A 23,542-nucleotide genomic window follows, 5' to 3' on the forward strand; every position below is an offset into this window, starting at 1 on the left:
GTCTCAAACTCTTGGGCTCAAGCAAGGATCCGCCTGCCTTGGCTTCCCAAAAGTGCTGGGATCACAGATGTGAGCCACTATGCCCAGAGATTTTTTTTTTTTTTTTTTTTTTTTTTTTTTTTTTTTTTTGAGACAGAGTTTCTCTCTGTCACCCAGGCTGGAGTGCAGTGGCGTGATCTTGGCTCACTGCAACCTCTGCCCCCGGGGTTCAAGTGATTCTCCTGCCTCAGCCTCCCAAGTAGCTGGGATTACAGGCGTGGGCCACCACACCTGGCTAATTTTTGTATTTTTAGTAGAGATGGGGTTTCACCATGTTGGTCAGGCTGGTCTCAAACTCCTGACTTCAGGTGATCCACCTGCCTTAGCCTCCCAAAGTGCTGGGATTACAGGTGTGAGCCACTGTGCCTGGACCCACAAATTTTTTTTAAGCATTGGTCCCTTCAGTGCATTCACTATTTCTATCTACTTGTTAGTTTCTTTTTTCTTTTTTTTTTTGAGACGGGGTCTCACTGTGTTGCCCAGGCTGGAGTGCAGTGGCACAATCACGGCTTACTGCAGCCTCGAACTCCTGGGCTCAAGCAGTCCTCCCACCTCAGCTTCTGAATAGGACTACAGGTATGTGTCACTATGCCCAGCTAATTTTTTTTATAGAAGCAGGGTCTTGCTATGTTGCCAAGGCTGATCTCGAACTCCTGGCCTCAAGCAGTCCTCCTGCCTCGGCCTCCCAAAGTGCTGGGATTGCAGGTATGAGCCATTGCTCCCAGCCTCTACTTGTTAGTTTCAACTCAACAAATATATATATATATATTTTTTTGGAGACGGAGTTTCACTCTTGTTGCCCAGGGTGGAGTGCAATGGCGCGATCTCAGTTCACTGCAACCTCCACCTCCCGGGTTCAAGCAATTCTCCTGCCTCAGCCTCCTGAGTAGCTGGGATTACAGGCATGTGCCACCATGCCTGGCTAATTTTGAATTTGTAGTAGAGACGGGATTTCTCCATGTTGGTCAGGCTGGTCTCGAACTCCCGACCTCAGCTGATCTGCCCACCTCGGCTTCCCAAAGTGCTGGGATTACAAGGCGTGAGCCACCGTGCCCGGCTCCATAGGTAAATATTCTGATAGGCCCAACTGTAATAGAGCTGTGATGGATTATACTGAAGAGCTAGCACAAAGCTTGTCATTGCTGTACATTGTTAGTGGGAAGGTTAAAGGGATGGCTATAGAAAGGTTTTATATTTAGATTTAAATCTCTAACTTGATAATCCTTACCAAAATCATTACTTCTTTTTTGTTTCACTGATTGGCTAAGGATCATTTATTATTAGCAGTATTGTTATATCAATATTTCTCCCAAATGAAAAATTTAGACTTCAGCATCAGAAAAAGCTGAGAGGTCAGGCGTGGTGGCTGATGCCTGTAATCCCAGCACTTTGGGAGGCTAAAGTGGGAGGATACCTTCAGCCAGGAGTTCAAGACCAGCCTGGGCAACATAATGAGACACTGTCCCCACAAAAAAAAAAAAAAAAAAAAAAAAAAAAAAGGGAAGAAAGGGAAAGGAAGGGGAAAGGGAAGGAAAGGAAAAAAAAAAAAAGAAAAAGAAGGCTGGGTGCAGTGGCTCATGCCTGTAATCTCAGCACTTTGGGAGGCCGAGGAGGGCAGATCACCTGAAGTCAGGAGTTCAAGATCAGCCTGGCCAACATGGTGAAACCCCATCTCTACTAAAAATACAAAAAATTAGCCGAGCATGGTGGCATGTGCTTATAATCCCAGCTACTCAGGAGGCTGAGATAGGAGAACCACTTGAAGCTGGGAGGCAGAGGTTGCAGTGAGCAGAGATGGCGCCACTACACTCCAGCCTGGGCAACAAGAGCAAAACTCCATCTCAAAAAAAAAAAAAAAAAAAAAAAAAAAAAGCCGGATGTGATGGCTCACGCCTGTAATCCTAGCACTTTGGACTTTGGGAGGCCGAGGTGGGTGGATCACGAGGTCAAGAGATCGAGACCATCCTGGCCAACATGGTGAAACCCCGTCTCTACTAAAAATATAAAAATTAGCTGGGCGTGGTGGCACGTGCCTGTAGTCCCAGCTACTCGGGAAGCTGAGGCAGGAGAATCACTTGAACCTGGGAGGCGGACATTGCAGTAAGCCAAGATCGTGCCACTGCACTCCAGCCTGGGCAACAAGAGCGAAACTTCATCTCAAAACAAAAGAGAAGAGAGAAAGAGGGAGGGAGAGAGAGAGAAGAAAGAAAAAAGAAAGAGAGAGAGTATGTAAAAAAGAAAAGAAAAAAACTGAGAGGCTTGTTAAAGAGTCAGATTCCTGCCTCCCACTTCCACCCCCAGATCTAGTGAATCACAATCTCTGGTAGGAATTTTTTTAAGCGTGTGTGTGTGTGTGTGTGTGTGTGTGTGTTTTAAAGCTCTCCAGGAGATTCTGTGCATACTAGAGAAACTTAATATAGATAAAATGGTTGTCTTATTTTTCACATTTCAACTGAGTCGACATTGTGTACTACTTCAGTTTGTCCATAAGTTGTTTTCAGTTTTACCATGCAAATTAGGCCTTGGTACTTGAGCAAAGGTACCTTAGAATCCTTGCACTAAGAAAAAGTTCTACAATCTTTGCAATTTTCAAAGTCCAAGAAATTTCTAACAAACAAAATGAAAATTATGGTTGAATAATAAAAATGGAACTTGACACTAGAGTTCTTCAAGACCAGATTAGTATTTTATTTTTCCCTTCCTAACACTCAAATTCATGGCAGGTGAAAAGATAATAGAACATAATCAAACTAACATATAAACACAATTCAAAAACGTTTAACCATCTATTATAGCTCTTTGTTGTAAAACACACAAAGTTAAACAGAAACATCTTTATATAAATTATCCTTAATAATCTGTATACACTGTAAAACAATTGAAAATTCACACCAAGATCCTAGTGCAAGCAGTGGTGTACAAAAGTGCAAACAAGGTTAGTGATTAACAACTTACCATCAATATACCACTTCAACATACTTTACATTCAGCCAAATACTGAAGGTTTCACCATGGAAAAACACTTTTATCACTTTTAAAGTAACTTGACTATGTTCACCCTGAGTGCTCTTGCCTCAGTATGGCAACTGATTATGAGTTCAGGTTAAGAGCAACACCAGGGAATACAGAAACCCACGTTAAGTTGGCCATTCTGACATGAATCTATACTTGAAAATGAAAACAATCCCAAAGAAAACCTGTATGTCAAAAACAGAACTGTTCCTGCCTTTCACCCCAAAATATTTAAAACTAAATCTAAGCCACTTTTAAAATGCATGCTGGCCGGGCGCAGTGGTTCACGCCTATAATCTAGCACTTTGGGAGGCTGAGGCAGGTGGATCACGTGAGGTCAGAAGTTCGACAAGCCTGGACAACATGGTGAAACCCTGTCTCTACTAACAATACAAATATTAGCCAGCTGTGGTGGCGCACGCCTGTAATCCAAGCTACTTGGAAGGTTGAGGCAGGAGAATCACTTGAAGCTGGGAGGTGGAGGTTGCAGTGAGTGGAGATCACACCACTGCACTCCAGCCTGGGTGACAAAGCAAGACTCCATCTCAAACAAACAAACAAAAAAGTATGCTGAAGAAGAATCCATCTACTCCAGTGCAGCTTTTCCAAAAATAGTTCTGTGTAAACTCAGTTTTCTATTTCTGCCCTAAAATCTATTTGGGGCAGGGGACACACCTGAAACAAAGTTGGCTTTGGATAACTTCGCTTACTTTCCTTTGAATACTTTGGATTCTGTTTAAAAGTATGATGAAAGCCGTGAACAACAATTAGTGCCATTAAATATATTAGCTATTTAATGCTCTAAATTATAAGGACAAAAATTAATTGGTTCAGAACTGCCTCTTTAATAGACTCTGTGGCTTCCCTTGACACTGGAGGATCTTTAAAATCCAGGTGTTGGGTGGGGATTTGTGAGGGGGAATGGTAACAGGGTTCAGAAGTGGAAACACGGTTTTAACAAAATTCCAGTCACTTTATACAGAGGCAGAGTCACATATCCCAAGAGCTGGTTCTTCTTTTATTTGGTTAAAAAGCACTAACTTGAATTTCAAAAGAAGGATAATAATGGAAATGACCGGAAGCTTCAACATGTAGTTTTAGGCTGGGCACAGTGGCTCATGTGTATAATCCCAGCACTTTGGGAGGCCGAGGCGAGTGGATCACTTAAGATCAGGAGCTCGAGACCAGCCTGGCCAAATAATGAAACCCTGTCTCTACTAAAAATACAAAAATTAACTGGGCATGGTGTGGTGCACCTGTAATCCCAGCTACTCGGGATGGTGAGGCACGAGAATCGCTTGAACCTGGGAAGCAGAGGTTGCAGTGAGCCAAGATCGCACCACTGCACTCCAGCCTGGGCAACAGAGTGAGACTTCATCTCAAAAAAAAAAGAAAAGAAAAGAAAAAACAAACATGCAGTTTTGATAATTTAGTCCTTAATTGAAGCACACTGTTTTTCTAAACTCTTATATTTATAGCAAAGCCTCTGGCTTTTAATGTAGGCTATATTTTATTCACTATTAATTTTGCATTAAGAAACTTATGTTTGCTAATTTCTATTTTTTCATTGTTTCTTGAAGATTTTTTAATGCTTCAACTTTTTACATATGTTTAAAATGATTTAAACAATATGCTCCAAATTAAATGAACAGAAGGAATTTTGAGAGATTTCCCCTTATGTAGCTATTCTCAGTGCACTCTGGTCAAATTTTACTTGGCAATAAATCCTTGCAAACGTCAGTCATGTAAGTGACTAACAAGACTGAAATACCACATTGAGTCACATACCAAATACAGTTTCAGAAAATGTAAACCTTTCCCCTGAAACTCTCCAATCATGTTAACTAGAACTATACTGTTTCTAATGATGGAACCTGTGAAATGCTGGGTTTTGAATGTAGTTAATAAAATAATTTTCTAGAATGCAAGAAACACTATTATCACAGTTATCACCCTATTTTAATGATTTACAAGTAGTTTATGCGCTTTCCATCACTATAAAGTATGGGCCAGTTGAAAATTGGCCGGGCATGGCGGCTCACGCCTGTAATCCCAGCACTTTGGGAGGCTGAGGTGGGCAGATCACGAGGTCAGGAGTTCGAGACCAGCCTGGCCAACATAGTGAAACCCCATCTCTACTAAAAATACAAAAATTAGCCGGGCATGGTGGTGCGCGCCTGTAGTCCCAGCTACTCAGGAGGCTGAGGCAGGAGAATCACTTGAACCCCGGAGGTGGAGGTTGCAGTAAGCAGAGATTGTGCCACTGCACTCTAGCCTGGGCAACAAAGCAAGACTCCATCTCAAAAAAAACAAAAAACAAAAAAACAAAAAACAAAAACAAAAGATGAGCCGGTTGAAAACTAAGAAAGAAACAACGTTCTGCTTTTATGCTATAAACCACAAAAAATTTGTATATGGATCCAGGTACACAAAACTAAAATTTAGGTCTGCACAGGCAGTATCTGTGTTCATATATCTTTGGCACTCATACAAAGATACTGGTTTAAACCAACAGTGAATAATTTTTTTTCATATACTTTAGGAAATGTCTGTTCTCCAATTAAAAAATGCTATAATCTCCATTCTAAAAATTCACTGAGATAAACTGAAATCTATCAATTTAACCAGCTGTGATCCAAAAGTGTAATTAACGGCAGTCAGTGAAACAGGTATGGGATCTCTTTAAAAGTGTAAAAGTGGGTTGAGACCTTATATTTTTACATTTCAGACTTTAGATTTTAAAAAATCTTTTGGACAGTGCCTGATTTGTATGTATACCACAGTGTTAACTACGCCCTAGCATCTTGCAGTGTGGGACACACAATTAGCCTATGTCCCCAGTACTAGTATTTACCTGGGAAATACTCCATGGATGCACACATTCACACAGGCACATGCAGAGTTGTCTTTCCTCTGTGCTTCTACTGTTTCTTGCCATCCTCTTAATTTGGTTCTCTTGAAAAAGAGCAGTACCCAGTGCATATACTCTGGAGAGGTTCTCAAAGCTGGACAGTAAGTCCTCTGGCTCAGGAACTCTGCCCCCTAAAGCTGGGAGGAAAGCTGGTTGCTCCTAAACATGGCTTCCTTTCTAGAGGCTCGGGCCATAAAAATCTTATGTCTTTGGGAAAATATCCACAGTTTAGCTGTGGTCCACAAAGTGACTTTGTTTCTTTGATCCTAGTGTTACAATTAGAATGAGGGTTCTGGAGCAAGATATATTACACCAGAAAGCATTTTTCCTGGCTAGAGAAACCAGTATGTTTTTTTTTCATTTATACCCATTTACAACACAAATAATTAGCTTCTTCAGTATCATAATAGATACTCTAGGAAATACTTGAAGAAAGGCAGGTCCCTGAAGGTACAGATAACATGAACAAGAGGCAGTTATTTTTAATAAGGCTTAGTTCTATTTAGTCAGAACTTAAGGAGTACTTTAAACCTATCTGGAAGAAGAAATCAATAGGCTGCAATGTCATGTTCTACTTTTCCCATAGTGTTACTGAGGTTTCCAGGAAGGGAGGGAGCACTTTTGTTTTCATTTAGAAAGAAGATGAAAGTGAAAACAGAATAGTCAGATTACTGAAACCAAATGTCATCTTAAGAAGCGACCTTGTCAGCTTAGCTAAATAGTAATTCCTTCCAGTCATATTCCTCAATCCTTATCTGCTTCATAGGTTATATTATCAATGACAAAAAGGACTGTAACTCTGACATGGACAATGGCTACAGAAAACACTAATTTTTGATATTAAAATTATTCTTGATGGAATTGGTTAAATATACTATAAAACTTGGCTTATAATCAGGATAAATCTTAAACTTGAGGGTCTTTAAAAATACATTTTTGGCACTTACCTTTCATCTTATATTACTAATGATGGGAATCTCAAACATATAAAAAAAGAATTCAGTTTCTTAGGAAATTATAATGCTTTTGAAAAACTAAAATTTTCTTAGTAAGCCTAGCAATGAGGCTTGCAGGCCCTATCACATGGCAAGCATAATATCTAAAAACAAAAGTCAGGTCAGGCATGGTAGCTCACGCCTATAATCCCAGAACTTTGGGAGGCCAAGGCGGGCAGATCACTTGAGGTCAGGAGTTTGAGACCAGCCTGGACAACATGGTGAAACCCCGTCTCTAAAACAAAATGAAACAGAGCAAAAAAAAAAAAAAAAAAAAAGCCCAACAAACAAAAAGTCTTTGTTGTATGGAGTAAGAACTACCTGAGAGCAAATAAGAAAAAAGAAAATTGGAAACAAGCACTTGTTTTCTTCTACCAGGATATAAAATATGCCAAAGAATACAAAAGAGCTATAGGATAGGAACAAAATCTCCACATATCTCAGACTGACACAGAACAAGCTGTTTTATTCCTCAGATATACATGTCTCTACAATGAAACTGCACACAAGGTCCTACTTATTGCTTGCCCCAGAGAGTACTGTTAAATGTACAGAGACTGGGAATATATCTAAATGTGGAGACACTGGTGCCTGTCATTGCTTTTGGGGAAGAGGCACAGATTACCCCATTGGGCACCAATAAGACTGGAGCACTTCAGAATTAGACAGCTGGGATGGAACTATAGAGCCTACCAAACTGAGAATCAACCTTGTGTACCATAAATGTGCTTTTCTTCAGAAGGCCAATCCCACAGGGACTAGGACACAGACCCCATCAGCAATGGTAGTGGCTGCATTACTAATAAAAATACACATGATTCAGGGATACATGGTATCAGGTGCAACTGACCACAACCATCTCATGGTAAATACCTAAGCCTTGAGAGCCTTAAACGCTATTCTAAATATTCTGAAGGAATCTCCTTTCCCAACAACCACTTCATATGCCTAATATTAAATACTCAAATTTTCAGAGTATACTAGCTAGATAAGACACATTTAAATGAAACATTTGCCCAACAAGGATGCCAAACATTAGAGTTTGTTTTATTGCATGACGTTTGCATAAGAAAAAAAGTTATTGAAAACTGTAAGGCATCATGCAATCATTGAATAAGCTAATTATTAACTGTACACTTAAGATAGGTGGACATATAATCTAAAATTTAAAAACTAGTTCCAGAAAAGTACATAAAAAATTTAACATGATGAGCTTTTAAATATGGTTTATAGTTTCATGTTGTTAAAAAGTGCTTCAAATGTACTGCTGGAAAGTTGCTCTTTACAAATGGCGCTGGGGTGATGTCAGATTATAAACTGTAAAAACCAAGTACTTTTATGGAATTAGAAAGCTAACATTGTGATACTCAAACTTACTTGAATCAGTTTTCAATTCTCATTCAAATTAAGTTGATTTAATATTAATAATCTAAAAAACATCTGTTTTATAACCAGCAAAAGTCTATTGAATTCAAGTTATGCATGTTGAGCAATCAAATCTCTGAGTAAGCCTGAACGTTGAGACCTGGAACCAATGTGAGTTTGTGTTAATCAATGTACTGTGCCATCCAGCGGAAGCCTTCTCCGTAACCTTGTCTTTTGAGCACACTACACATGAAAACTTCTAAGGGTCGGGCATTCAGTTCTTTCAGAGATATACTCCCCTAGAATAGAAGAGAGACATTTCGTTGGAATTTTATAAAATTAATAAAGCCCCACATCCCAGCAGAATTATAGGTTCTATTTTAGAACAAAGAATGGCTGTGATAAATCCATGACTGTGATAAAGTCGTGGCTGCTTGGCATCCAAGCCCCATGAACACACAAGAAGCCTCCTTCTCTCACTCTACCTTAGGGCAGGATGGCCACTCAGTGGGAAAGAGGTTAGCTTGCAAGATACCCAAGAATAAAAATAATCTGACTTAGAAAAAAATCCAAACTGGCTTCACTAATATTAAAGACAAACATTCCCTGAGAAGGTTTATGACCAAACAAAGCATTTCCTAAAATTAATATCAAGCTAATTTATAAAAAAGAAGACAGAAAACAGACCAAAGTCTACTTTGTCTGACTTAAGAGCCTCCTGCGGACCGGGCGTGGTGGCTCATGCCTGTAATCTCAGCACTCTGGGAGGCCAAGGCGGGCGGATCACCTGAGGTCAGGAGTTCGAGACCAGACTGACCAACATGGAGAAACCCCGTCTCTACCAAAAATACAAAATTAGCTGGGCGTGCTGGCACACGCCTGTAATCCCAGCTACCAGGGAGGCTGAGGCAGGAGAATCGCTTGAACCTGGGAGGCAGAGGTTGCAATGAGCCGAGATTGCACCATTGTACTCCAGCCTGGGCAACAAGAGCAAAACTCCATCTCAAAAAAAAAAAAAAAGAGCCTCCTGCTATATGCTGCAGTATTTCTCCACCCTGAAATAGTATATGTAAACTAAAAAAATTTTGTAAATCTCTGGGGTTCTTCCACTGTTTATCTGGATTTTTTCAATGCTGATGTTTCCCCCAAAATAAATCCTAGGAAAAGTGAATACCAAAACAATCCGTCTTAAAGCTTATTATAAAGTATATGTTCAGAAAACCGTAAAATATTCCAAGTTTATGTCTTATTTATCTCTGGTAAACTCAGGGCCTAAACACACTACTGGTATACTTAAACACTCAAATATATCGTTTGGTGGCTAATTCTGAAAATGTATGATAAATAACTTTGAAAGCTTTAATTTAGTTTCCTATAAGCACAAGCCTTAGGCATAACTCATCCTTGACATTTTTGTTGTCACCAAGAAAATGTTTCATTCCATGGTAGAAAGAAATGAGGACATTAAAAAGACCCACAGGTATAAATGACAGTTTTCTTTAAGAAAATGATAATGGGCTTGTATAGTTGGACAATAGTAATTTAAGAAGACATTTGTACTGTAGAATTAAACACACCCATCATAATTTTTTTTTTTTTTTTACCTTTCCTGTTGTCTGACCATATAAACCAAACATCTCTCGCAACCTCTCTTCACTGATGGCTTCAGGTCTGTCGATCTTATTCCCAAGAATCAGTATAGGCACATTAGCAATGGTTTCATCTGTCATTAGTGACTGAAAAAAACAAAACAATACAAAACAAGAGTTGATATGAAACCATCCAAAGAGCTTATTTTGATATGATAAAACAATAAAGGACTCATTTTCTACCATATCATGTCATACCAACGTTCTTTGTCAAACTTTCCCCACATTTTAAAGTGACCTCAATGAAACCATAAGCTAAATTCTTCTGTCTTCCTAAGGCTCTTCCTGTAAATGTTTACTCTGCTCATCCTTTAAAGGAGTGACATAGAACGTATAGAGCCAGCACCTTAGAAGTGAACAGATGTGGTTTCACTTCTGGCTCTACTGCTTTTGAGATGTGACTTTGGGCAAGTTAGCCTGACTGAAGCTCTAGAGAGAATTAGGAACAGTAGCATCCACCCTATGAAATTGAGAATTAAATCAAGTAATACGCACAGTCTCTGGAACAAAGTAGGAACTCAGGCATTCTCTGTCCTTGTTTTGTAACCATAGAACCTACCTGGACTTTTCCACACGTACAAGTATTTGTTTGCCTGCTCTGGGCAGAGCCATGGTATGATCAACCTTCAATCAAATCATGGACCTGCTTACTCTGTGGCCCCAGATCTGGTGCTGACCTTGCCTGCTGCTGTTGGGCCCCTTTACAAAATATCTGACCTGGGATACTGGAGGGGAGGTAGCTACATATGCCTCTGCTCACTCCTGGGAGTAGTGTCAAAGATGGCATGTCCTATCATTTCCAGGCTGTGGCTTAAGATATAGCATCTTAGCATGACCAGGGACTCAAGATCAACCCACTCCAGGAATATAACAGACATGAAATATACTAAAAGGGTACATTCTGTACAGGGTGAGCTTCTTAAGTCTTCATAAAAGATGTCTGTGTTAGTACTTCCTCAATAGCTACAATTACTCAGTTACTCCCTCTGCATTCTAAGTAATCACTACTTAAAGCAATCACTGAGCTCAACAAATTGCCAAGAGTTTCATCAGAGACTGCAGAAAAGCTGCACTCTGATACCTGTATCTCTGACCTACTTCTGCAGGCTTACCAGAGTGATTTGACTATATTTAGTTTCAGTTATTTAACTTACATCAAGTTCTTCTTTTGACTCTAACAGCCTTTCGTGGTCTGCACAATCCACCAGAAATACAATGCCATTGATAGCAGGAAGGTAGTTTTTCCACACTCTTCGAGCTAACAAAAACAATCAGGGGTTAGAGTTTACTTGTTGGTCAAACCCAGCAGATGGTTTAAGCAAAGAGTCCAACCAGATATCAAGTGCGGTAATCCCTTAGCTGCTGGTACTTCACAATATATTCAAGTTAATCTTTTACCCAGTGGTGCCAAATTCTTCTGAGAATAACTAAGAGGGAATTTCAGGCTTTCCTTGACTGTGGGCAAGTCAAATACTTTAGTCTCTTCCAATTATCATATGTAAGGAGTAGAATATTTAAAATAAAAATAAAAATAAAAAAAAATACACGTTAAGTTCATTGGAGGACTGCTACTAGATCTAAAATATAAGCAGTAAAAAAACTACATATATGTGATTATATATACATAAAATGTGTGTATTTATATTACATATATATGCAGTGTTCATTTTTTGACATTTCTAGTTATCAGATTTTTTTTGCCAGTGATAAATTTGGAATGAGTGACAGAAGGAAATTAATATCAGGTACAAGCTTGTTAAAATAATAAGGCCGGGTGTGGTGGCTCACACTTGTAATCCCAGCACTTTGGAAGGCCAAGGCAGGTGGATTGCTTGAGCTCAGGAGTTCAAGACCAGCCTGGACAACATAGTGAAACCTCATCTCTACAAAAAAACACAAAAAATTAGCCAAGCCGGACACAGTGGCTCATGCCTGTAATCCCAGCACTTTGGGAGGCTGAGGCAGGTGGATCACCTGAGGTCAGGAGTTGGAGACCAACCTGGCCAACATAGTGAAACCCTGTGTCTCTACTAAAAATACAAAAATTAGCCAGGCTTGGAGAATCACCTGAACCCGGGAGGTGGAGGTGGCAGTGAGCCGAGATCATGCCACTGCACTCCAGCCTGGGTGACAGAGAGAGACTCCGTCTCAAAAAAAAAAAAAAAAAAAAAAAAAAATTAGAAAGTGTGGTGGTGTGTGCCTGCCCAGCTACTTGGGAGGCTGAGGTGGGAGGATGGAGCCCAGGAGGCAGAGGCTGCAGTAAGCCAAGATCATGCCACTGCACTCCAGCCTGGGAGACAGAACCAGACTCTGTTTCAAAAAAAATAATTAAAAAAAAACCAAAACAAAATTGTTTTACTCAGAAAAGAAGCTCAAATGTTAATAATTAACTGAAGTCTATGAAATCATAAGAGTAATTTTTTCCATAACATAACTTTCTTCACTGACTTGAGTTTTATGACATACCTTTTTTTTTTTTTTTTAAAGAGACAGGGTCTTGCTCTGTCATCCAGGCTAGTTCACTGCAACCTCAGACTCTTGAGCTCAAGTCATAGTCCCATCTCAGCCTCCTGAGTAGGTAGGACTATCAGTGTCTATCACTATGCCCCATTAATTGTTAAATTCTGTGTAGAGACAGGGTCTTGCTATGTTGCAAGGCTGGTCTTGAACTCCTGGCTTCAAGTGATCCTCCCAACCTCAGCCTCTCAAAGCACTGGGATTATAGGCCTGAGACCCCACACCCAGCCATTATGACATATCTTGAAACAACATAGAAATGAAGTCTCAGACAAATTCCATTAGATTCCAATTCTAATCATCGTATTCCAGAAATTATTTTGTGTATATGCCAGACAATTACATGTCTCAAATGTGCTTTCACTAGCCAGAACCATTTACAATCTTTTCAACTATATGTCGCATCAGGTTTTTAGAATGCCCACCAATTCGGTAATATTGGTTAGTTATGACTTACTATGAGGTAGATGTTGCCAAGTACTTTTGGGGATATAAAAAATGAACAGGCCAGGTGTGGTGGCTCACACCTGTAATCCCAGCACTTTGGGAAATTGAGGTAGGAGGATTGCTTGAGGCCAGGACTTCAAAATCAGCCTGGGCAAGATTGTGAGACCCCATCTCTACAAAAAAAATTTTTTTTAATTAAAACAAAACAAAAAACAGGATTTTAGTCCCCGCAAGTTTAATATAAGAGATAAGGCAGTCTTTCCAAACTTGTTGTAGACATGTACACAAATATACTAAGTGCTATGAAGTATAGCTGAGAGCACTCCAACTGAGAATGGCTTCCCAAGGGAGGTAGCAGGGCATACGCTGGGGCCTAAAGGGGTTACTCATGTGCGGATGGGGATGGCATGAACAAAAGCACAGAGGAAAACACCAAGAAGGTCTGATTTGGTTGAAGCAAAAAGAACGGGAAGGGGAATAGAGGGAAATAAAAGAAAAGTAGGCCAGATGTGGTGGCTCACACCTATAATCCCAACTTTTGGGAGACTGAGATGAGAGGATTGCTTGAGCCCAGGAGTTGGAGACAAGCCTGGGCAACATAGTGAGTGAGACCCTGTCTCTATAAGATAATTTTTAAAAGCCCAGAAAAGTAAACTGGGACCAGATCATAGAGATCCTGAATGCCAGGTTAATGAGTTTGGCCTTTATTTTGTAAGTAATGAGTTAGCCACTGAAGGTTTTTTTGTTTTGTTTTGTTTTGTTTTTGTTTTACAGAGCAGTAACATGTTCAAAACATGATTATGACAGTGAGAGGTAGATTGAAGTAGAGAGAATGGAAGTTAATTTTACTCATACACTTTACCACCAAAAGCAATTCTCATTTGAATTGGCCAGAAGTATCATGAAAATCACCCTTTGCTTTTAAAGTATTTATCGGGGAGTAATAATCCCTAAATTTTAAATCTACTCTGGCCTTGCGTGACTAGAATGAGATTTCATGCACTAGAACTAATGGCCACATTTTTGTTAAGTTAAAATAAAACAAAGTGACTGTAAGAGTAAGAGAATCTTACCTTGAACGTGGCGAAATCCCATCTCTACTAAGAATACAAAAATCAGCTGGGCGCGGTGGCACATGCCTGTAATCCCAGCTATTGGGGAGGCTGAGGCATGAGGATTGCTTGAACCCAGGAGGCAGAGGTTGCAGTGAGCTGAGATTGCACCACTGCACTCCAGCCTGGGAGACAGAGTGAGCCTGTCTAAAAAAAAAAAAAAAAAAAAAAAAAAAAAAAAAAAAAAAAGAATCTTACCTTGAACATGTCCACCCAGATCAAAAGTTGTAAACGTCATGCCAGCAATGGTCAGTTCTTCGGAAGCTAAATAAGATTTTAAAATATTTTTACATGAAAATTAGAAACCCATTAATCGTGTAAAAAGTAAAGTAGAGGTTCCTTTTCAAAGACTTTCCTCCCCATCTAATTAAGAATAAATAGTAACTTCTCTTAGAAGCAAAATTGATTCAAAGACCCGTGCTAACATTCTTAAATATCTGCCAGCCGTAATAAAGAAATCAATGTACTTTATGTTCTTAGCTCCCACAATTTAGCCTAAATATTTGCCCTGGCATACTTACACTGGTCCAAGCAAGCATTAGGTCATAGCCTGTTCCTCTTCCTTATTTGAAGGTGTTTTTACCTTTCTCAGCATTCCACAAGTTACTTCCTCCTTCCTTTGTTCTCCTCTGCCTTTGCCTCTTTTAAAAAGTTCTAAGTTGCTAGCCAATCAGGACAAATACAGAATGTGAGGTCCCATTCCAGCCAATGGAAACCGGACACAGCAGTAGGGTGGACGCATCAGATTATAAATGACCCTGTCTCCTTTGTTCGGTGTACTCTTGTGGCAAAACTGCTGGCAAGTGTACCCTTTCTGCAGAAAGTAAAAATGGCCTTGCTGAGGAAATTAAATTTATGTTCAAGTGCTATCCTTTACAGCACCAGGGAACAAGCATTTCTAACAATAGCTTATATTTACTACTTAATGTTTGATTTACTTTTATTGCAAATAAGGTCAAATCAAACATTTACAAACTGGTACAATAATACTTTTTTGTAATTAGATATACACCAATTCATACTGACAATATAACAAATAATTGTAATATTCAGTTCTAGTATTCTACTCACCACAAATCCAACATTTATTTTTCCTTCTCTATTCTTCCTGCTGAAAATGTTAATCTCTTCAGACAATTATTTGCTATGAATTCAAATAACTGCTCCAATCTAATAATTGTTCATATAATTCATCTTAAATGATACAGGTGAAATAATTTTCTCTTATGGCTGACATAAGACAGTCTTTAATTACAAAAACAATTACCATAAAAAATTGTGGCCATTATTTCCATAACTATCTTTCTTTCTCCTCCCTTCCACTTCTGGGACTTCAGTTGCAGGTTTGTTAGACTGCCTGATGTTGTCTCACCAGTCATTGAGGCTCTGTTTATTTTGCTTTCAGTCACTTTTCTCTCTGTGCTTCATTCTGGAGTTTCTGTTGCATTGAGTTAAGTTTAGTGGTCTTTCTTTCTGCAGTACTGGCACTATCTAATTTACTATTAATCCTATCCAGTGAAATTTCCATTTCAGGCTGGGCATGGTAGCTCACACCTGTAAGCCCAGACTTTGGGAGGCCAAGGTGGGAGAATCACTTGAGCCCAGGAGTTCGAGACCAGCCTGGGCAACCCAGGGAGACCCTGTCTCTATTAAAAAAAAGAAAGAAAGAAAAAAAAGAAATTTTCATTTCAAATACTGTATTTTTCATTTCTAGAAGTTTCATTTGATTCTGTGTTATATCTTCCATTTCTTTCCTCATGTTTGTGTTTTCCTTTAAATCCCTGAGCACATTCATAACGATTGTCTTATGTCTTAATCTGCTAATTCCATCATCTTTGTCACACTTGTGTCTGTTTCTACTGACTGAATCACTTTCCTGTTTCTTTGCATGTCTAGTAATTTCATATTGAGTGCTGGATTTTGTTGTAGTCTTTTGAAGAAGGTTGAATTTTGTTCTGACAGTTCACTTGCTTACAGATCAGTTTTTAACATTTGTTAGAAGGCTAAATGGGATTAAACAACAATTCCTGGCCCCATGAGAGCTCTAGTAATTATTTGGCTAACAGCATTCTTACAATTGTTCTTTGACTAGCCTTTTGGAGCTTTACCCATTGCATGCACAGATTGGTATTCAGCTATGTAAATTTCTAGAGTCCTTTCTCTCCAGAGGTCCCTCCTCTCCGGTACTCCCTCCTCTCTGTCCTAGCAAAAAAATTCTAGTCCTGTTGGCCTTTCCAAATTCTGGTCTACATCTCCTCAACTCAGCAAGACTATTGGACTATGTTTGGGTGTCCTCTCTTTGCACCATGGTCTGAAAATTACCTCTTGGCATAAAACCAAAATAGAGTTGTTTCCTTTCTCTCAGGAATCACAGTCCTGTGGTAGCTGTTGCCCAATGTCTGAAAACAGTTGTAGCATCTTTTTTTGTCCGGTTTTCTAGTTGTGTACAGTGGGAGGGTAATTCCAGAACCAGTACTCACTTATGGCCAAAAGCACAAGTGCCCCATAATGACAACATAAGTTTTAGTGTAGCTACTTTAGCCCAGAGTTTTTATCTTCTTAAGAAATTCTGGGGGCCGGGCGCGGTGGCTCACGCCTGTAATCCCAGCACTTTGGGAGGCCGAGATGGGCAGATCACGAGGTCAGGAGATCGAGACCATCCTGGCTAACGAGGTGAAACCCCGTCTCTACTAAAAATACAAAAAATTAGCTGGGTGCAGCGGCAGGTGCCTGAAATCCCAGCTACCAGGGAGGCTGAGGCAGGAGAATCGCTTGAACCCTGGCGGCAGAGGTTGCAATGAGCCGAGATTGCCCCACTGCACTCCAGCCTGGGGAACAGAGCGAGACTCCATCTCAAAAAAAAAAAAAAAAAATTACCCAGGCATGGTGGCAGGTGCCTGTAATCCCAGCTACTCAGGAGGCTGAGGCAGGAGAATCACTTGAACCCAGGAGGCGGAGGTTGCAGTGAGCCGAGATTGCGCCATTGCACTCCAGCCTGGGCAACAGAGAGAGATTCTGTCTGAAAATAAGAAGAAATTCTGGGCCGGGGGCGGTGGCTCACGCCTGTAATCCCAGCACTTTGGGAGGCTGAGGCGGGTGGGTCACGAGGTCAGGAGATCGAGACCATCCTGGCTAACACGGTGAAACCCCGTCTCTACTAAAAAAATACAAAAAATTAGCTGGGCGTGGTGGCAGGCGCCTGTAGTCCCAGCTACTCAGGAGGCTGAGGCAGGAGAATGGCATGAACGCGGGAGGCGGAGCTTGCAGTGAGCCGAGATTGCACCACTGCACTCTAGCCTGGGCGACAGAGCAAGACTCCGTCTCAAAAAATAACAATAATAAATAAAGAAATTCTGTATGTAGGCCAGGTGCAGTGGCTCATGCCTCTAATCCCAGCACTTCGGGAGGCCGAGGCGGGTGGATCACTTGAGACATCAGGAGTTCTGAGACCAGCCTGGCCAATGTGGTGAAACCCCGTCTCTACTAAAAATACAAAAATTAGCCAGGCGTGGTGGCAGATGCCTGTAATCCTAGCTACTAGGGAAGCTGAGACAGGAGAATGTGGCAGGCGGAGGTTGCAGTGAGCCGAGACTGGCCACTGCACTCCAGCCTGGGCAACAGAGCGAGACTCCATCTCGGAAAAAAAAAAAAAAAAAAAAGGGCAGGGCACACGGTGGCTCATGCCTGTAATCCCAGCACTTTGGAAGGCCGAGGGGGGCGGATCACCTGAGGTGAGGAGTTCGAGACCATCCTGGCAAACATGGTGAAATCCCGTCTCTACTAAAAATACAAAAATTAGCCGGGAGTGGTGGTAGGCTCCTGTAATCCCAGCTACTCGAGAGGCTGAGGCAAGAGAATCGCTTGAACCCGGGAGGTGGAGGTTGCAGTGAGCTGAGATCATACCATTGCACTCCAGCCTGGGGGACAAGAGCGAGACTTTGTCTCAAAAAAAAAAAAAAAAGAAAGAAAGAAATTCTATGTGTAGATTGCCAAATGAATAAAATATTTAATACAATCTATATTCAAAGTCACTGTTCATAAGGAAAAGATAATGCTTAGTTAGCAAACCACCTCTATGGTAATAATCCCCAATATACTTTCTGCTTTATAAAAGAAGTCTGAATTAGGCTATTTAAGATACAGAACACTGTTAACATCCCAGAAAGTCTCCTCTAGCCCCTTCCCAGTCAATCCCCATTTTCATCTCCGGAAGCAACCACTGATCTGAATTCTATCACCACAGGTTAGTTTTGTCTGTTCTAGAATTTCATATAAATGGTATCATACAGTAGATAACTTTTTATGACCAGCTTCTGCCATGTAGCATAATATGACTGAATGTATCAGTGGTTTATTCATCTTTCTTGCTAAGTAGCATTCCATTATTTATCAATTTCCTTTTTGATGGACATTTGAGGTGTTTCCAGTTTTTGGCTATTACAAATAAAATTAGTATAGGCTGGGTATGGTGGCTCACACTTGTAATCCCAGCACTTTGGGAGGCTGGATGGGAGGATCGCTTGAGCCCAGGAGTTCAAGACCAGCCTAAGCAACATGGTGAAACCCTATCTCTACAAATAAATTAAAAAATTAGCCAGATGTGGTAGCATGTGCCTGTAGTTCGAGCTACTTGGGAGACTGAGGTGGGAGGAACACTTGAACCTGGGAGGTTGAGGCTGCAGTGAGCCGCGATTGTGCCATTGCACTCCAGCCTGGGCCACAGAGTGAGACACTGACTCAAAAAAAAAAAATAATAATAACTCACCACCAACAAATAAAGCTAGTATAAACATTTTTGTACAAGGTTTTTGGTAAATGTATTTTCTCATTTCTCTCGGGTAAGTAACTAGGAGTAGAACTGCCAGATCATAGGATATATGTAGGTTTTCACATATGCTTTTTTTTCCTTTTCAAAAATGTTTTCTTTTCCACACCAGAATAGATCACATATGCTTTTGATTAATTAAAAAATATGAGTTGAAATGAATGTGAGCTGCAGGAAAGGTTGAGATAGCATCTGTTTTCCCCTAGTATCCAGAACAATGTCTGACATAAAGTAGGTGCTCAATAAATATTTGAATAAATGAAATAGAGCAACGTCAAAAAATTAAAAAATGACTTACACCTAATATTTAAGACCACTCTGTAGTCTCTTCCAGTTATGCTGGTTTTTGTTGGGTTTTTTTTCTGTGTTTTTTGTTTTTTTCGAGACAGAGTCTCCCTCTGTCGCCCAGGCTGGAATGCAGTGGCGCCATCTTGGCTCACTGCAACCTCCGCCTCCCGGGTTCAAGCAATTCTCCTGTCTCTGCCTCCCGAGTAGGTGGAATTACAGGCACGTGCCACCGTGTCCGGCTAATTTTTGTATTTTTAGTACAGAACGGGTTTCACGATGTTGGCCAGGTTGGAAATTACGCTGTTTTTGCAGACAATTTTATCTACTCAATTTCACCATGATCATTTTTTCTTTAACAGAATTGTTCTTATATCAGAATCTTACTTGCCAAGCCCCACTTTTTTCTCCTAATATAAAAAAAAGATTTGTTGGCCGGGCGCAGTGGCTGACGCCTGTAATCCCAGCACTTTGGGAGGCCGAAGCGGGCAGATCACGAGGTCAGGAGATCGAGACCATCCTGGCTAACACAGTGAAACCCTGTCTCTACTAAAAATACAAAAAATTAGCCAGGCGTGGTGGCGGGCACCTGTAGTTCCAGCTACTCGGGAAGCTGAGGCAGGAGAATGGTGTGAACTTGGGAGGCGGAGGTTGCAGTGAGTCGAGATCGTGCCACTGCACTCCAGCCTGGGTGACAGAGCGAGACTCCATCTCAAAAAAAATAAAAAGAAAAAAAAGATTTGTCAATTTCCTTTTCCAACCTCACTAATTGTTTTATAGATAAAATACTTTGTTTTGTTCTATCCTCATTCTTTGTTCTTTGAACATTTACTGGACTAAATAATTACAGTATTATCTACTTTTTGGTCCAGTTCTCAATTTTATATTCATTATTAAGGCTACACTTACTATTTCATAATTAATCTATAGATTAACTTGTCTTTAAACTCTGTGTCTATCTGATTCATAAAATTTTCACCTGTAAAAGTAAGGTCACAGGTTAAATTAGGTTTCTGTTTCTAATAATTTACCCACTTTAACATTAACTTTATTCTCAAATTCGTTACATAACCTTAAATGCAAAATAAAATTTATTAAATAATTTACAGAGTCAGCCAAGTGTGGTGGCTCACGCCTGTAATCCCAACACTTTGGGAGGCCAAGGCAGGTGGATCACTTGTGGCCAGGAGTTCGAGACCAGCCTGGCCAACATGGCGAAACCTGGTCTCTACTAAAAATACAAAAATTAGCTGGGCTTGGTAGCACATGCCTGTAATCCCAGCTATTCCAGTGGCTGAGGCAGGAGAATTGCTTGAGCCCAGGAGGCAGAGGTTGCAGGGAGCCGAGATGGTGCCACTGCACTTCAGCCTAGGCAACAGAGTGAGACTCTGTCTCAAAAAAGGAAAAAAAAAAAATTAGAGTCATTATTAAAAAACATTATTTTTGGCCAAGTGTGGTGGCTCATGCCTGTAATCCCAGCACTTTGGGAGACTGAGGTGGGCGGATCATCTGAGGTCGGGAGTTTGAGACCAGCCTGGCCAACATGTTGAAACCCCGTCTCTACTAAAAATACAAAACATTAGCTGGGTGTGGTAGCACATGCCTGTAATCTGAGCTACTTGGGAGGCTGAGGCAGGAGAATTGCTTGAACTCAGAAGGCAGAGGTTGCAGTGAGCCGAGATCGTGCCATTGCTCTCCAGCGTGGGCAACAGAGCAAGACTCCATCTCAAAAAAAAAAAAACTTTCAATTTTTTTGGTATTTTTTGTTTCTTTAGAGACAGGGTCTCACTCTGTTGCCCAGGTTAGGAGTGCAGTGGTGCAATCATAGCTCAGTGAAGCCTTGAACACCTAGGGTCAAGTGATCCTCCTGCCTCAGCCTCCCAAGTACCTAGGACTACAGGTGTATGCCACCATGCCAGACTAATTTTTTGTTTTTGTTTTTGTAGAGATGGAGTCTCAGTATGTTGCCCAGGCTGGTCTTAAACTCCTGGGCTCAAGTGATTCTCCTGCCTCAGCCTCCCAAAGTGCTGGGATTACAGACATGAGCCACCACACCCACCCTTGTTTTAAAACTTCCTGTGTGTCAATATATGCCTTGTTTTCTTTAGATTAATTCTGTGGTGTACATTAGATATTGTTGAGGTTATTAAGACTAGAAAAATAACTGGTTAACAAATTGAGTTACCAGCCATGTATAAAATTGTAATGTATCTACTGAATTAGTGCTTAAAATAGTACATGGTGCAATGGCTCCTATCTTTAATCCCAACACTTTGGGAGGCAGAGGCAGGAGGATCACTTGCACCTGGGAGTTTAAATGGTGCGCTATGATCATACCACGGCACTCCAACCTACATGACAGAGCAAGACCCTGTCTCTACACAAATAAAATAAAGTAATATGGCTTTAAAATCTGAAAGAAGCCTGGGCGCGGTGGCTCACACCTGTAATCCCAGCACTTTGGGAGGCCGAGGAAGGCGGATCACAAGGTCAGGAGATCAAGACCATCCTGGCTAACACGGAGAAACCCCGTCTCTACCGAAAATACAAAAAATTAGCCGGGCGTGGTGGTGGGTGCCTGTAGTCCCAGCTACTCGGGAGGCTGAGGCAGGAGAATGGCGTGAACCCGGGAGGTGGAGCTTACAGTGAGCGGAGGTCGTGCCACTGCACTCCAGCCTGGGCGACAGAGTGAGACTCCACCTCAAAAAAAAAAAAATCTGAAAGAAAAAATTCAGGTTATGTAAACAAGGCGATGGTGGACTATTTACCAATCATGTCACAATCCCTCAGACAAAAACTTTTTAATTCCTCAAGCTAGAGAAGGGAGTACTAGCTGATAAAAAGGTATGAGTACTAATTCAAGATCTAAATATTCTCCCTGGGAGCGAGGTCACCTATAATTTATTATTTTAGGAACAGGTCAAATCACCTGATCATAATTTATCTACCAGAAAATGCCCCCCAAACAAAAAACTTGGCCAGGTGCAGTGGCTCACGCCTGTAATCCCAATACTTTCGGAGGCTGAGAGAGGCTGATCACTTGAGCTCAGGAGTTCAAGACCACCCTGGGAAACATATCGAAACCTGGTCTCTGAAAAAATATAAAAATTAACTGGGCATGGTGGCACATGCCTGTGGTCCCAGCTACTTGGGAGACGGGAGGATGGCTTAAGCCCAGGAGACAGAGGTTGCAGTGAACTGTGATCATACCACTGCATTGCAGCCTGGGCAACAGAGAAAGACCCTGTCTGAAACAAAACACTTTTGGTTAGTGCATATGACTCAGCATCATTTGATCAAGTATCACATTGTATGTAGGAATATACTTACTGGGATGTAATGTTGGGACATGTTGTCCAAGTCTGTCATCTTTTAGCATGTGTAGCAATGTTGTTTTTCCTGCATTATCCAATCCAAGAAATACCAGTTTACCAGTTTTCTTATATAATCCTGCAAAGCAAGAGCTATGATTGGTCAAAGTGATATCTGATACTAATTATCCAAATGAATTTAAATTTGGCCCAATTAAGCTTGAAGTTCTAAACCTATTTTCAGTTTTAAAAAAGCTATTTTAAATCTATTCATGGCCGGGCACGGTGGCTCACACCTGTAGTCCCAGCACTTTGGGAGGCCGAGGTGGGCGGATCACCTGAGGTAAGGAGTTTGACACCAGCCTGGCCAACACGGTGAAACCCCGTCTCTACTGAAAATACAAAAATTAGCCAGGTGTGGTGGCGCATGCCTGTAATCCCAGCTACTTGGGAAGCTGAGGCAGGAGAATCACTGGAACCCAGGAAGCAGAAGTTGCGGTGGTGAGCTGAGATCATGCCATTGTACTCCAGCCTGGGCGACAAAGTGAGACTCTGTCTCAAAAAATAAATAAATAAATAAATAAATAAATAAATAAATAAATCTATTCATGATTTGGGACTTCAGATAATTATAAAACCAAACTTCAACCCAGTCAATAGAATATGTGTTTTGCCTTAACATATCTACAATGCCAAAATGCTGATTAATTTTAGAAGTATCAATCAGGTATTGATTGATAGATAAATTGATAAATAGAAAAAAGGCAGCATTGACCAATTTATAATAGACTGGAATTGAACTGCTAAATTTCATATTGAACTTAATTAATTGATTTATTTAGAGACAGTGTCTTACTCTGTTGCCCAGGCTGGAGTGCTGTGGCATGATTACAGCTTGCTGCAGCCTCAACTTCCTGGGCTCAAGTGATCCTCCCACCTCAGCCTCCTGAGTAGCTGAGACTACTGGTGTGCACCACCACGCCTGACTAATTTTTGTATTTTTTGGTAGAGATGGGGTTTCACCATGTTGGCCAGGCTGGCCTCAAGTGATCTGCCCACCTTGCCCTCCCAAGG

General features: G+C 40.9%; 1 protein-coding gene across 4 annotated transcripts in view; it reads right to left on the reverse strand.

Annotated features, from left to right (window-relative positions):
• Positions 2,704–23,542, reverse strand: part of SAR1B (secretion associated Ras related GTPase 1B) — a 31,680-nt gene continuing 10,841 nt past the window's right edge. For 3 of the 4 annotated variants that reach the window (NM_016103.4, NM_001033503.3, XM_047417257.1), the window contains 5 exons: positions 22,488–22,607; positions 14,246–14,311; positions 11,126–11,229; positions 9,927–10,058; positions 2,704–8,621 (listed from right to left, as the gene is read on the reverse strand). In NM_016103.4, the coding sequence (NP_057187.1) occupies positions 8,505–8,621; positions 9,927–10,058; positions 11,126–11,229; positions 14,246–14,311; positions 22,488–22,607 (539 nt within the window). In that variant the 3' untranslated portion in view covers positions 2,704–8,504. Of the gene's footprint in view, positions 8,622–9,926; positions 10,059–11,125; positions 11,230–14,245; positions 14,312–14,568; positions 14,588–22,487; positions 22,608–23,542 lie in introns of those variants that run through there. The other variant, XM_047417258.1, reaches the window with a different exon arrangement.

This window comes from Homo sapiens, chromosome 5, assembly GCF_000001405.40.
Source record: "Homo sapiens chromosome 5, GRCh38.p14 Primary Assembly".
Lineage (NCBI taxonomy): Eukaryota > Metazoa > Chordata > Mammalia > Primates > Hominidae > Homo > Homo sapiens.